The sequence below is a fragment of the Homo sapiens genome, chromosome 13, assembly GCF_000001405.40.
Source record: "Homo sapiens chromosome 13, GRCh38.p14 Primary Assembly".
NCBI classification, from domain to species: domain Eukaryota; kingdom Metazoa; phylum Chordata; class Mammalia; order Primates; family Hominidae; genus Homo; species Homo sapiens.
This window is the reverse complement of record NC_000013.11, coordinates 52,440,383-52,455,410: the sequence shown is the minus strand read 5'-3', so window position 1 is coordinate 52,455,410 and position 15,028 is coordinate 52,440,383. Positions and strand designations below refer to the sequence as shown.

At 43.2% G+C, this 15,028-nt stretch overlaps 1 protein-coding gene and 1 long non-coding RNA gene across 4 annotated transcripts in view, besides 5 other annotated features; both read left to right on the top strand.

Annotated features, from left to right (window-relative positions):
- Nucleotides 1-64: 64 nt before the first annotated feature.
- CKAP2-DT (CKAP2 divergent transcript) lies at nt 65-636 on the top strand. The gene has a single exon (NR_185890.1). It is a non-coding gene; the product is annotated as a CKAP2 divergent transcript (long non-coding RNA).
- Nucleotides 233-312: an enhancer, noted in NCBI's record as "active region_7791". NCBI's record gives its function as "activates an Ori minimal core promoter by ATAC-STARR-seq in GM12878 lymphoblastoid cells {active_cell/tissue: GM12878}" and the evidence as "EXISTENCE:reporter gene assay evidence [ECO:0000049][PMID:35858748]".
- Nucleotides 603-782: an enhancer, noted in NCBI's record as "active region_7790". NCBI's record gives its function as "activates an Ori minimal core promoter by ATAC-STARR-seq in GM12878 lymphoblastoid cells {active_cell/tissue: GM12878}" and the evidence as "EXISTENCE:reporter gene assay evidence [ECO:0000049][PMID:35858748]".
- Nucleotides 4,531-4,590: a silencer, noted in NCBI's record as "silent region_5386". NCBI's record gives its function as "represses an Ori minimal core promoter by ATAC-STARR-seq in GM12878 lymphoblastoid cells {active_cell/tissue: GM12878}" and the evidence as "EXISTENCE:reporter gene assay evidence [ECO:0000049][PMID:35858748]".
- Nucleotides 4,611-5,191: an enhancer, noted in NCBI's record as "NANOG-H3K27ac-H3K4me1 hESC enhancer chr13:53024355-53024935 (GRCh37/hg19 assembly coordinates)". NCBI's record gives its function as "activates a minimal SCP1, AML or CMV promoter by ChIP-STARR-seq in naive H9 embryonic stem cells {active_cell/tissue: H9 hESC(naive)}" and the evidence as "EXISTENCE:reporter gene assay evidence [ECO:0000049][PMID:30033119]".
- Nucleotides 4,631-5,090: a silencer, noted in NCBI's record as "silent region_5385". NCBI's record gives its function as "represses an Ori minimal core promoter by ATAC-STARR-seq in GM12878 lymphoblastoid cells {active_cell/tissue: GM12878}" and the evidence as "EXISTENCE:reporter gene assay evidence [ECO:0000049][PMID:35858748]".
- The window catches only part of VPS36 (vacuolar protein sorting 36 homolog), a 38,029-nt gene continuing 27,777 nt past the window's right edge, over nt 4,777-15,028 (top strand). The window contains exons 1-2 of one of the 3 annotated variants that reach the window (NM_001282168.2): nt 4,777-4,885; nt 12,966-13,034. In NM_001282168.2, coding sequence (NP_001269097.1) covers nt 4,817-4,885; nt 12,966-13,034 — 138 coding nt within the window. In that variant the 5' untranslated portion in view covers nt 4,777-4,816. Of the gene's footprint in view, nt 4,913-5,166; nt 5,481-12,965; nt 13,035-15,028 lie in introns of those variants that run through there. The other 2 variants (NM_016075.4, NM_001282169.2) reach the window with 2 other exon arrangements.

The following is a 15,028-nucleotide window of genomic DNA, read 5'->3' as shown; positions in this document are numbered from 1 at the left end:
AGCCAATGGGCGTAGGGAGGCGGAGCCTGGACTGCAGTTGCCGGGGCCGGTCTGGTGTCTGCCCAGTTCGGTTGGGACTGAGTCTGCAGGTTTCAAACCTAAACAGCGCTCTTCATCCTGGACGTGCGATGGGGGAGGAGTCGGCCTGCTCAGTCCCCACGACATAGCAGGACTAGGTTGACAAACAACCGAGATGGGACACATCTTGAGACCCTCACAGTCCTTGGAGGAAGGCAGACGAGAAAAAGACAAGAAAAGTGTTGATTGGCTGCCCTTCTTATTAAACATCGACGCGTTCACTGACGAGGACGTAAACACCGATCTGGCGTACCACGAGCGTGTGTATTTTCGTTTCACAAATACTGCTTCATTTTGAGCATCAATTCTGAGGTGGGACGTTATCACCACTTTTTCCACTGAGAGGTGACAGGTTCAGAGGTTGTTTGTCCACGTTTGCACAGCGTGTGAAGGGGAACTGAAATTGGGATCTACTTTCCATACCTTTATTCTAAGCAATTATCAAATGCAAAAAAGGGAGGAGAGGAGGAGAAACAGAAAAAAATGAAGATAAACCTCATCCCCTCCTCAAGGTTATATATAATTCTCCTTTGAAGATAAAATAGCATTTGTTACAGACGTTTTGTGTTTGTGTGGTTAAGTGTGCCGCCATAATCTTCGTTTTTCTCATCTAAAAATACCACCTTCATAAAACCCACACAAACACTCAATCCACATGACAGAACGAAACAAGTCAGGGCTAGAAGGTTTTAAGAGTGGCAGTGGGGAAGTGAGGGCGAGTCTGGACTGCACCTGCCTGGTTTCAAGCACTGGGTTTACATTTCTTGCCTGATCACTGCAGTAAGGCTGGACTGGACTCTTTCAGCCAGGTTTTAGGTGCTCCGGGCACACAGACGGGAGGATGTGATTTCCCCGTTTACCCTTCCCAGGTCTGAGGGCCTCCACAGCTGGCCCTCGGCTGTGGTCAGTTTTTCCCACTTCTGCCTGCTTTTTTCTTCAGACATCTTATGGTAGCGTCTTGCTAATGAGGAATTTGGTTTGAGATTTTGTGTAGTTTTTTACTTGATGAAATGTCCCAGTTTTAGTTTAACATTGTCCATCACCATCCTTAAGATATAACTTGCTGTTTAAATACGTCTGTCATTATTGTTGATTATTTACTAAAGTTTCATCAGACAGGTGGGGCAACCAGGGATTTCTATTAAGTGAGAACAAAATACAGCGTTAATAAGTGACTCAAAAACCTCCAAAACATTATGCTAAGTAAAAGAAGTAATATATGAAAAGTTACATATGGTATGATTCCATTTATATGAAAGATCTAAAATAGATACATCCATAGTGAAATAACTCAGAATAGTAGTTGCCAGAGGCTGAGGGTAGGGGGAGAATTGGGAGACAGTTTAATGGACAAGGGTTTCATTACCTTGAAGTAAGTGAAATGTTTTGGAATTAGAGGTAGTGGTTGGGTGACATTGTAAATGTATTAATGCCATTGAGTTGTTCACTTTAAAATGATTAATTTTATGTTATGTGAACCTCAATAATTTTTTATAAGTGGGCATGGTAAAAAAAGAAATTGACTCAAAGGATACCATGGAGATCTCAGTAGGCTGAGATGAATAGGAAAACCTGCCAAACTGCTAGGTTTTTCAAAATGGCAATTCTCCTCTAATCTCCAGACTCACCCACTCCAATGATATGTCTATTTTTGAGACACTTTTTAATATTACTGCTACACAATTATTGCAGAGAAAGCAGACCTTTTTCTAAAAGATCCAAAAAACAAACAAAAAAAACAAAACAAAAAAGATTTCCTTTCAGAACAGTTCTTTGCCAACACAGCTGACCATGAAACTGCAGGCACCTGGAGTACTGATGATTAATTAGTGTTAGTCGTTCCTCCTGTGGTCATGTGAAGAAGGTAAAGTGCCTGTGAGAGAACAGGGAAGGACAATCTGAAAGTTAGGAGGACAATGGGGACACAATGGGGTCACAAAGTCTGGGGAAGAGAGAAGCTGAAGAAAGAGGTAATGGACCACAGTGTTGGGCACTACAGAGGTCCAGTAGGATTGGGACTGAAAGGAACCATCTGATTCAGAAGGTGGGAGGTCCTGGCAAAAACATCCTGGGGATGGCTGGGCGTGGTGGCTCATGCCCGTAATCCCAGCACTTTGGGAGGCCAAGGCGGGTGGATCACCTGAGGTCAGGAGTTCAAGACCAGCTTTGCCAACATGGTGAAACCCTGTCTCTACAAAATATACAAAAGTTAGCCAGGCGTGGTGGCAGGCACCTGTAATCCCAGCTACTCGGGAGGCTGAGGCAGGAGAATCGCTTGAACCCAGGAGTCAGTGGTTGCAGTGAGCCGAGATTGTGCCATTGCACTCCAGCCTGGGCGGCAGAGTGAGACTCTGTCTCAAAAAAAAAAAGCATAGACCTAAATGTAAGAACCAAAACTATGAAGCTTCTAGAAGAAATTATAGGAGAAAATCTTAGTGACTTTGTGTTAGGCAAAGATTTCATAATCAGTATCAATATCTGGTTTGTGGAAAAAAGATTTCTTAAATAGGCAAATTCCATGAACTATGAAAGAAAAAAATACACTGAACTTCATAAAAATTAAAACCTTTTGTCTATTCATTTATTGCCATATATAAGCCACATGACGTTTCTCCTTGCTCCAGCCTGGATACAGGAAACCCTTATACGGTTGTCTATCCCAGCAGCTATCATATGCCAGGCTTCTATTTGTGTCCTACAGACTGTACATCCCTCAAGGGCAGAAAACATACCTTGCAAATGTCCTCACTGCCTAACATGTTGATAATTGCAAAGCCCAGGCATAACTGCACAGTTCCACATCTGATTAGGATGCTTAGGTCACATTACTTTCAATTAAAAAAGACTAAAAAGTTGGTAAACAATCAAATGCTCAAAAATCAGGCAATGATGGTAAATTGTGATATATATTGATAGCATATTACAGCAAATCAAATGTTTTCAAAGAACTTTTGGTTATTGGGTATATGGTCATGATGGAAATTGAAAGATATGAAATACAGAAGACACTGTTTAGAAATAGACCAAAATACACACAGGATTTTGGAACACGGTAAAAGTAGCAATTCATTTCGGGGGAGAGATGGCTTATACTCATTGGAAAGAGCCTTTCCTTTCTTTTAATGCCTAGCCACAGACCACTGACTCCACGACTGGGGGAAATGTGGAGCCCTGGGGGCAGAGAGCAAGCCTGCCCTCTGTCCCTCTGCCCCTGTGCCCCTCTGCCCACGTGGGCACGCAGCCTTAGTTAAGACCCCAATAAGTGGTAGGCTCTCTAAAATGTGTTCACAACCTTTAAAGCAGTCATTCTATTTTAGGAAGACACTGTAAGAAAATAATCCTAAAGAGAAAAATATGTATCAATTGTAGAAGGACATCTATAAGCTGCTCCATTTATTTATTTATTTATTATTTATTATTATTATTTTTGAAGCAGAGTCTCGTTCTGTCGCTCAGACTGGAGTGCAATGGTGCGATCTCGGCTCACTGCAACCTCTACCTCCAGGGTTCAAGCGATTCTCTTGCCTCAGCTTCCCGAGTAGCTGGGATTACAGGCACCCGCCACCACGCCGGGCTAATTTTTTGTATTTTTAGTAGAGACAGGGTTTCTCTATGTTAGCCAGGCTGGTCTCGAACTCCTGACTTGTGATCCGCCCGCCTTGTCCTCCCAAAGTGCTGGGATTACAAACGTGAGCCACCGCGCCCGGCCAGGTGTTCCATTTATAAAGCAAAATACAAAAATGAAATGGCTAGGGGCACGAGGCCGCCTGGTGGGTGAGAGCAGCGGCCATGGATGGCTTTGCGCAGACCAACAAACAGCTAAATTATAGAGGAACTACATATTGAAATGTAAATTCACGCATGAGGTCTGTATTAATATTGAAAATGCCTAAATAAAAATAATCTTTTTTTTCTGAGCCTGGGGGTGGGGGAGTGGAGTGGCGTGGGGGAGTTGGGGTGGAGGGGGAAAGGGTCTTTCTATGTCGCCCACTGGTGTCAAACTCCTGGGTTCAAGCAATCCTCCCGCCTCAGCTTCGGAAGCAGCTGGGAATACAGGCGCGCGCATCAAGCCCGGTTAAATAAAATCTGTTTCCCCCAGTTAAAAAAAAATTAATTTGTGTGGGTACATAGGTGTATATATTTCTGGGGTATATGGGATATTTTGATACAGGCATACACTGTATAATAATCACATCAGGGTAAATGAGGTATCCGTTACCTCAAGCATTTATCCTTTGTGTTACAATATAATCTTAAAGGGAAAAAAAGAGCAGCACAGGTAGTACTGACTGCAGCTGTACAGAAACAATGCGTGCCATAAATATTCATTTGAAAGAGAGGGGTTATGATTATTTACAATCATTAGCGAATGTAGCAACATTCTGGGCACTGACAAGAAAACTGCCACAAACATGCAGGCATAATGCACAATAAGCAAGTCCAAGCTGTGGTCGGGGCTCCCTCGCGTCCCTGTAAGCTCTGAATTTAGAATGGGGTGGACCGCCTGCTGATCAAGGGTTCTGAAAGGCCGGCGGCTAATGGACCGCCAGGGGGCGCTCCACGCACGTCTCCACGTCCCCGGGCGCACCTCGCAGCCGCGCCCGCTCGCTGCCAGGCCGCTCCCTCCGTCCCTCACCCGCCCCGACTCGCTTCCGTCCCGTCCGACGCTAGGGGGCGCCGCAGGCTGCCTGGCGCGCTGCTCGCGGCCTCGGAGGGCCGGGGCTGGGTGGCAGCGGCCATGGACCGCTTCGTTTGGACCAGCGGCCTCCTGGAGATCAACGAGACCCTGGTGATCCAGCAGCGCGGGGTGCGAATCTACGATGGCGAGGAGAAGGTAGGGCGTCTGCCAACCTTCCCAACGGGCTGGCGGAAGGGACCCCCGGTGGGCGCGCGGCCCGGCTCAGCGCGGCCCGGGTCGGCGCGGCCCGGTCCCCGGCTTAGCTCACGGCCCTCGGCGGCCCGGCAGGCCTCTGTGCGGGGTGCAGCGCTCTTGCGCTCCCCGCCGGTCGGTAGCACGTGGCGTGGGGCGCTCGGCTGCCTCCCCAGCGCGGGTCCCAACTTTGGCACGGTTCCCAGCAGGCGCGGATCGCGGCCGCTTCCCTCCGCCCGGAATGCTTCCGGGAGCGCACAGCTGCAGTGCCCGGGAGAAGGAGCGCTCGCCGTCTGCGGGCGCCGGGCGGCGATCCGGCAGTCGACTTCCTTGGCGTGGTTCCAGACCCCCTGACGACACCAACCTCGGCGTCGGCACCGGACAGCCCCGTTTCGCCTTTCTGTGAGGAGGGCGCGGTGGCCGTACAGTCCGTGCCCCAGCGGAAGCTTTAGCTTGGACCTTATGCAGTCGGAGGGATTAGCATATCTGGGCAGAGGGGTGAGGGATTGCTTCGAAAGGATTTCCTAAAGAGGTATCAGTGCTTCATTGGAATGCCCTTGCCAAAGGCTATTGGGTTTTTGTTTTGTTTTCTAATTGCTTTAGAAAGGCGTTCTGAGCGTGTTTTGTAAAGTGTTATATTAATAGTAGACCGTGCCTTGTAGTGCAAGCATAAATCTTAGAAGGTGCGTTTGCAAATCGAGAGGAGAAATAGGAAGTGTAAGTAAATATTTTGTAGATACTTTACTGAAACTATGAAATATCTTGTCCTGGATTGAAATGGATAAACTGGAATTAGAAAAATTTTAAAACTCATTTACCCACAAGCATTTTTGGTTTCCAGAAGTTTTAATTTGCTACCTCTCTTCCCTTGCCGTTTTATTAACGACACTTTCCGCTGTACTTTGATATAAGTTCCTCAACTCAGCTTTTCCTGGTAAGTGCTTACAGCTATTTAGAGGCACAGGTGACATTGGACCCAGGTCCTCTGACTCTCTTAGGGCATTTTCTATGGGCTGTGTTGCCTGTATTAGTGAGTAAAGGTCTTTTCCTTAAATAATTTGCTTGGACCTAACTTCACTTACTGCCTTAGCACTTCTTAATTTAATTAATTAATTTATTTATTTTGAGACAGAGTCTCGCTCTATCGCCAGGCTGGAGTGCAGTGGCGCGATCTGGGCTCACTGCAACCTCCGCCTCCCAGATTCAAGATCCTGCCTCAGCCTCCTGAGTAACTGGGATTACAGGCGCCTGCAACCATGCCCGGCTAATTTTTGCATATTTAGTAGAGACGGGGTTTCACCACATTGGCCAGGCTGGTCTCTAACTCCTGACCTCAAATGATCCGCCCGCCTGGGCCTCCCAAACAGCTGGGATTACAGGCTCTTGAGCCACTGTGCCCAGCCTGCCTTGGCACTTTAACTATCTTGATCTCAAGATGAGTCTTCCATCCCCGGATTGGAGTGACAAGCTATTTTTTTCTCCTTTCTTACCAATTTACATCTTTGTGACTATTTAAAATGGGAAGGTTAATCCACCTCCCCTTCCTCGGTGTTTTGATTTTGCCTCCCCTTTGAGAGGAACCGAATGTTGACAGTGTTAGATCTGTCCTCAGAGACTCCTCCAGTGCCACTCCCTGAGGGAGCACTAGGAAGTCATGCTTTTGCAGAGCATGGCATGATACTGTTCTATGGAACTCCAATTTGAAGACTAGGAACACCTTTGCTGGCAGGCAGTATAGCTGTGATAGATTTAAAACAGTGTAAAATAACAACCATTAGTAGTTTTATATGAAAGATACATTGTTGAAGCAGCAAGTTTTAATTTTTACTTTAAAATTTTTGCTGCTTGTATTAGCAGACAAGTATATAGATGTCAGAGGTTTAAGAAACAAATCATGGGGAAAACATTGCTTTAGACCCTGTGATCTAGTCCAGAATTAACTCTTCTAAAAGCTTGAAATTGGAGTGGAGCTCTAAGAGGAGTCTCCTTACCACTGTGCCCCAAAGCTGGACTTAGTGACTTGCTGAGCTGCCTTGCAGCTATGCGGTCCCTAGGCTGAATGGGGCACAGGCTGACTCCTGGGGGAAGGTGCGGTATCCTGGCTTCCTTCATCTTTTGGAAGGTTTCCAGACCTCCTGTGGTGCTAGAGACTTTACAAGGTTACACACATTAGCCCCCAAATCTGGTGAAATTAGTCTCCCTTTTAGGATGCCTCACTGGCTCCTTTGGCCTAGGGACTGCAGTCCAGATTGCTTAATATTCATAGTTTTGCATCCCAACCCATTCCCTGGGCAAGCATGTGCATGGCTGTCTTCTAGACTAGTCTGATGTTTCTGGAGCACAGAAGGTGTGCCTTGCTCATCCTTGTATCTCCTAGCTGGTTGTGGGTGTGAAACACATTTTTTTTAAACCCGAATAATTAAAGTACTATGAGCCAAGAGCTGTATATATCATCTCATTTAATCCTCTCATCAGAATATGAGGTATTTTACTGAATGAGAAAGTAACGCCAAGAGATACAGTGACTTGCCTAAGATCCACAGAGAGAAGATTTAAATCTCTGTTGATCAGACTCAAAGCCTGTGCTTTGTTCATGGAGCTACAGTGAGCCGAGATTGTGCCACTGCACTCCAGCCTAGGCAACAGAGCGAGATTCTGTCTCAAAAAAAAAAAAAAATGACTTCATAATGTAGCAGTCACCGGTGTCACCCTTGATATAATGTTTAATACAGCTAATCTTCCCAAAGATGGGGAACTGAGACCCCACAGGTGATAGCTGAGAAAACTGTGAGCTGTCTAAGGTCACACAACTAGTAACTGGTAGAGCTAGAATTGCAAACCAGATCCAATGGACTGCTCTTCCCACGCCCAAGTGCCTCTTATGAATACATGCAGACTCGCTTGTTTATACAGGCACAGTTTTCATGGGCTCATTATGACTAGATAATGTGTTACTTTCATAAGCAGTGTAGACAGGTCATTTGTTTGACTTCACAGACACTTCTGTAGCCTCAGCCAATTTAAAAAATAATGTAAGGTTAGTAATGTGTAAAGTGGCAAGTTGGCAGCATATATCAGAAGATTTAGAAAATTGTTTATTCTTTTTCAGCTAACTCACTTTTAGGAATTTACCCTTGGGAAATAATCAGAAATGCATAAAAATATTACATATGAGAATGCTCATCTCAGCATTATTATGTATTACATATAATATTATTATATATGGAAAAATTGGAAGCAATCTGAATGTCCACCATAGGGATTGGTTAATTAAATTATGGCATGGGGCCAGGCGTGGTGGCTCATGCCTGTAATCCCAGCACTTTGAGAGGCTGAGGCGGGTAGATCCTCTGAGGTCAGGAGTTTAAGACCAGCCTGGCCAACATGGTAAAACCCCGTCTCTACTAAAAATACAAAAAATTAGCTGGGCGTGGTGGCGGGTGCCTGTAATCCCAGCTACTTGGGAGGCTGAGGCAGGAGAATGGCTTGAACCCGGATGGCAGAGGTTGCTGTGAGCCCAGATCGCACCATCGCACTCCAGCCTGGGCAACAAGAAACTCCATCTCAAAAAAAAAAAAAAAAATTATGGCATGCCCTAATTAGCATGAGGAATTGCCAATGATAGGCTGCTAACTATATTTTCTAACTATACTATTAATAATAGTTATAAACCTATCATTCTATTTAAAGGTTATATATGTATACATAAACATCTGTGTATATATACATACACACTCTGGCTGGTATGAGTTATTATTTCATTTTCTTTTTCAGGCTCTAAATATTTTCGAGATTTTCAACACTGAACATGTATGACTTTTATAACAGAAAAAATGTAAATTAAAAAAAAAAGCAGGTTAAGAACTTTTCAGTGAGTGCTGAAGTTAGATCAATTTTTAAGCAGTTAAAATTATTCTAGGTTCTGAGTGGTGTAAGCAAACCAGCCTAAACTTGACTATCAGGTTTAGATCTTAATCCACTGGAATCCTGAAAGGGAACTGTTACACAATTTCTTCACTTAGAGCAGCAACATTTTACATTTGCACATTGTTAATTGAGGTAGCAGTGGAACATAGGCTGGCTCCAGCCTTAAATTAACATGTATGTGCTTGGATTTCAGTAAGATAACATACGAAGTTTCTTAATCAGAACTATATGTTCTATAATGCAGCATTATGTACTTTTTTTTTTTTTTTTCAGACGGAATCTCGCTCTGTTGCTCAGTCTGGAGTGCGGTGGTGCGATCTTGGCTCACCGCAACCTCTGCTTCCCGGGTTCAAGCGTTTCTCCTACCTCAGCCTCCCCAGTAGCTGGGATTACAGGCGCCCGCCACCACGCCCGGCAATTTTTTTTTTTATTTTTTATTTTTTATTTTTAGTAGAGACGGGGTTTCACCATGTTGGTCAGGCTGGTCTTGAACTCCTGACCTCTTGATCTGCCTGCCTCGGCCTCCCAAAGTGCTGGGATTACAGGCGTGAGCCAAGGTGCCCGGCCTTTTTTTTTTTTTTTTTTTTTTTTTTTTTGAGATAGAGTCTTTCTCTGTCGCCCAGGCTGGAGTGCAGTGGCGCGATCTCCGCTCACTGCAAGCTCCGCCTCCCGGGTTCACGCCATTCTCCTGCCTCCGCCTCCCAAGTAGCTGGGACTACAGGCACCCGCTACCACACCCGGCTATTTTTTTTTTGTATTTTTAGTAGAGACGGGGTTTCACCGTGTTAGTCAGGATGGTCTTGATCTCCTGACCTCGTGATCCGCCCGCCTAGGCCTCCCAAAGTGCTGGGATTACAGGCGTGAGCCACTGCGCCCGGCCTTTTTTTTTTTTTTTTTGAGACGGAGTCTCCCTCTGTCACCCAGGCTGGAGTGCAATGGCACGATCTCAGCTCTCTGCAAGCTCCACCTCCCGAGTTCACGCCATTCTCCTGCCTCAGCCTCCGGAATAGCTGGGACTACAGGTGCCCGCCACCAAGCCTGGCTAATTTTTTGTATTTTTAGTAGAGACGGGGTTTCACCGTGTTAGTCAGGATGGTCTCGATCTCCTGACCTCGTGATCCGCCTTCCTCGGCCTCCCAAAGTGCTGGGATTACAGGCATGAGCCACCGCGCCCGGCCAGCATTATGTACTCTTAAGATAATTAAATATTTGCTTTTGGAGAAGGGAAATTTACTCATTGGCAAAGAAGAGATTTAAAAAATATTGTAAACTTAGTTATTTGGTTTTGCATAGATGAGATTAACCAAAATGTTTGAAGCCAGACTGAACTAAGTGCCAGAAGTACATATGTTTTATTTCTGATTCTGAGAAAAACATGGACTCATAAGGTCTATTCTCTGACATGTTGAAGTTTGTTGGTGGGACAATCTCTCATGAAGTGTATTTAGACTAGATGGTTCAGAAGGTCTGTTATCATTAAAGTTTACTAACCATATTATTTACTACTTAATGCTATTAATAATACAATCAGACCTTACTCTTAGAAAACAGTTTTTTAAAATGTATGTCAAGAAGTGTGTTATTTATTATGCAAGGACTTTTTGACATATGTTCCTATGTGTGCTTGATTTAACAAAAAATGATTTATATATAGTTCAGAGTTACATGAAGTTATACATGCCTGTGATCGATTTTTTTATTTATTAGACATGTAACAAAGTTGTTAAATATGGATAGGCCAAAGGAGGAACTTGAAATAATCAATAATCCTACTACCCATAAGCAGTTACTTTTAGCGTATTCTGTGTGTGGAGTCATGCTATATATATTTTGAGACCTGCTTTTTTCTGTATTAATATCATAAGTCTCTTTATTATCAACCGCATAAATAATTTATTGTTTAAGAATGATATATAGTAATGCTCCAATTTATTTACTTTTCATATATATATGTGTGTGTGTATATATATGTGTATATATACATATATATGTATATGTATTTATATATAAATATATATATTTTTATACATATATATGTATATGTATTTATATAAAAATGTATATATATGTATTTTTTAAACGGAGTCTTGCTCTGTCACCCAGGCTGGAGTGCAGTGGCGCGATCTCGGCTCACTGCAAGCTCCGCCTCCCGGGTTCATGCCATTCTCCTGCCTCAGCCTCCCGAGTAGCTGGGACTACAGGCACCCGCCACCACACGTGGCTAATTTTTTGTATTTTTTAAAGTAGAGACGGGGTTTCACCATATTAGCCAGGATGGTCTCGATCTCCAGACCTCGTGATCCACCCGCCTTGGCCTCCCAAAGTGCTGGGATTATAGGCGTGAGCCATGGCACCCGGCCATATTTTTAACATATTATTTTAAACTCAAAACAATTCCAGTCTTATTTTAATAAACTGGACACTCACTAAAATGCTTTCCTTAGAATTTATGTTGTAAGGCTGCCTTATAAATGGGACTATCCTTGTAACTGTTTTTTGTTGTTGTTTTTCTTTTTTATTAGCTCAGACTTAGGATCAGATATAACTTTTAAAATAACTGGATATTCCTGGAAAGGACACAAGGAAGTCCTACCTTGTGGCAAATTCCACTTTCTGGTAACTCGAGTTAATAGCTTCCAATATATATCTTGCTTTTAACAGAAACACAGGGGTTTAATTTATTAATCTCTTGGGTTCCAACTCTAAAATTTGCTTATTTATGTAACTTTCAGGGCATAATAACAAGTAGTAAGGGTTAAAGTTTTGGTCCTGAAGACCCAGCTGGCATTTCTTTGTGATTGTATTGTAGTTTTGAAGAACATTTAAAAATTTATATTTTGAATAGGTGATACATACTCAAAGAGTATGTCCTAGTCAGCTCAGCTGCTAAAACAGAATAGCATAGCCTGGGTGGCTTAAACAACAGGCATTTATTTCTCATAGTTCTGGAGACTGGGAAGTCTAAGATCAAGGTGCTGGCAGATTTGGTTCTTGGTAAGGGCACTCTTCCTGGCTTGCAGATGGCCACCATTTCCCTGTGTACTTGCATGGTCTTTTGTCAGCACGTGTTCATGGAGAGGAAGCCCTCCTGTCTCTTCCTCTTCTTATAGGGATACTAGTCCCATCATGAGGGCCCCACCTCATGAACTTCTAAACCTAATCACTTCCCAAAGGCTCCATTGCCAAATACCATCGCATTGAGGGTTAGGGCTTCAACATATGAATTTGGGGGTTTTTGTTTAATGCTAATGGGTTTTATGCCTTCTTAGAAAGGTCTTCTCCCCTCAGATTATTTTAAAAATTATCTCATGATTTTTTTCGAGTGCTTTTATAATTTTTTTCGTTTTTTACTCAATTGTTTGATCCTTCTAGAATTCATTTTGGTGCATTGTATTAGGTATAAATCCAGATGTGTGGGTTTTTCTTTTTCCTACCTGGCAACCCAGTTGTCCCACTGCCATTGATTGAATCTCCATCCATATTTATTTTTGTATGTATTTGTGTCTATTCCTGGATTTTGTTTTCATTAAAAAATGTTATGAGTGTTATACATGAATTCAATTGCAAAGAAATTCAATCAGGGTAAAGTGTAGAGGTACAAAAGAGCTCTTTGCTTCCCTTCTACCCCTTTCCTCACACTTTTTCTGAGATAATGATTGTTAACAGATAATTGTGTTCCTTTTAGACCCCTTTCACTACTTGTGTGTCTGCAGACACACACATATACTGCATATGTAATATTATAAATTGCTGTAAATCACTTTCTTTCCCACTCATCCAATGTCTTAGAGTTCTATGGTAATCCATGCAGTTCTACCTCGTCATTTCTTTTTAACCTTTGCATGCATTGCAGAGTATGAATGTGTATCATACCTGGTTGTTGTTTGCATTTTTTTCTAATTCTGTCAAGACTATACAAATAGCTTATGAAGTATGTAGCATTGGTTCTCTTTAATTTGTGATAAGCCTATTCTAAAAGTAAAATGTTTGTTTATATGATTAATTTAGTGTGGTATAATTCATGAAGAAGAAAATCGGAACCACAATGAGTGATATGTTATTAATATTTTGTGATGCTCTTTCTTTCTAGATAAAATTTGATGCTGGGACTCTCCTTCTTAGTACACACCGACTGATTTGGAGAGATCAGAAAAATCATGTAAGATACAGTTTTTTGCATCTGTTGTAGGTTTTATTTTGTTTATTTATTTTTTAGAGACAGGGTCTCGCTGTATTGCCTAGGCTGATCTGTAACCTCTGGGCTCAAGTGATTCTCCTGGCCTCAACCTCCCGAGTAGCCGGGGCTACAGGAGTGAGCCACCATTGTAGGTTTTAAATCAACTGGAGCTTTTTCTTCTTTTTTCATTTCTAATAAAACTTATATAATGAATGCAATAATAAATTTTACTTTTCTGAATGACAAAAGAGTGTGTCCCATGTAATTTCTCTGAATGGAGTGCAAAAACAGGAGTTAGCGTGTCGTCCCTTATTCAGCTCCAGAAAAATCCATGTAGTTACTGGATGGAGAATCATGTTTTTTAAATACTAGTCAAATTCTACTCTATATCTAAATGTTCCATGTGTAACAGTGGAATAATTCCCCCATCAGTTGTGAGGGAGTCTTTACAAAGAGCTGGTATGTCCTTAAAACCACTGGTTGTCCTAGGTTGTTGAGAATCAGGAGGCTAGGCCTGCCATCAAGTGCATGCTTTTACCTAGATAATGAGATCTGTCTCTAAGTCACTCAGCAAGAGGAGTCCCCCACGCATCCCCCCCTTTTTTTTGAGATGGAGTCTCGCTCTTTCGCCCAGGCTGGAGTGCAGTGGCGCAATCTCGGCTCACTGCAACCTCCGCCTCCCAGGTTCAAGTGATCCTCCTGCCTCAGCCTCCTGAGTAGCTGGGATTACTGGTGCGTGCCACCACGCCCGGCTAATTTTTGCATTTTTTAGTAGAGACGGGGTTTAGCCAAGTTGTTCAGGCTGGTCTCTAACTCCTGACCTCGTGATCTGCCCACCTCGGCCTCCCAAAGTGCTGGGATCACAGTCGTGAGCCACCTTGCCCAACCTGTTTTTTGTCTTTTGTTTTTGGGAAGGAGGAGAATTATATGTATATAGAGCTGATATCTTTATTCCCAAGAGCTTCAACCTGAAAGTGTATATACATTAATCTCAGTGTTGCCAGTAAGATAGCTATCTCATCTGTTTTTATTTTCCTGATTGTTCCCCCAGACCCCTGTGAAATTTTAGTACCACAAATAAACTATATACTGTACTGTAGCACTTGAAGGGCTGCTAACCATTACAATATCTGACTTTTTTGTACCTGGGAACTAATTTTTGTCTCCTAGGTCTGATATTGCCCCTGTTGATAATGCATGCCTTAGAGCAGGGGTCCCCAACCCCCCAACCCCCAGTACTGGTCTGTGGCCTGTTAGGAACTGGGTCACATAGCAGGGATAAGTGACAGGTAAGCAAGCATTACCACCGGAGCTCCACCTCCCATCAGATCAGCAGACGCATTAGATTCTCATAGGAGCAGGAACCCTATTGTGAACTGTGCATGCAAGGGATCTAGGTCATGCCCTCCCTTTGAGAGTCTAATGCCTGATGGTCTGAAGTGGAACAGTTTCATCCTGAAACCACAACCCCTGCTCCCCAGGAAATACTGTCTTCCATGAAACTGGTCCCTGATACACAAAAGGTTGGGGACTGCTGCCTTAGACTGTTAATATTGTCTAATCCTTTTAAAAGTAATATATATTCAGAAAATAAATCTTTTTGGGGAGGATAGAGTGGATGTCCTTAAACCATATGTTGATAAGTTAATCTTAGTATAATTTTTTGATTATCATATAAAGAGGTCAATTTGGACAAATTTTAGACTTACTACATTGCTAGTCACATATAAAAATTAAACATAACTGTTTATATATGTTAAAAATTGGGCTAGGCGCAGTGGCTCATGCCTGTAATCCCAGCACGTTGGGAGGCTGAGGCGGGCGGATCACCTGATGTTGGGAGTTTGAGACCAGCCTGACCAACGTGGAGAAACCCTGTCTCTACTAAAAATACAAAATTAGCTAGGCATGGTGGCACATGCCTGTAATCCCAGCTACTCAGGAGGCTGAGGCAGGAAAATTGCTTGAACCTGGGA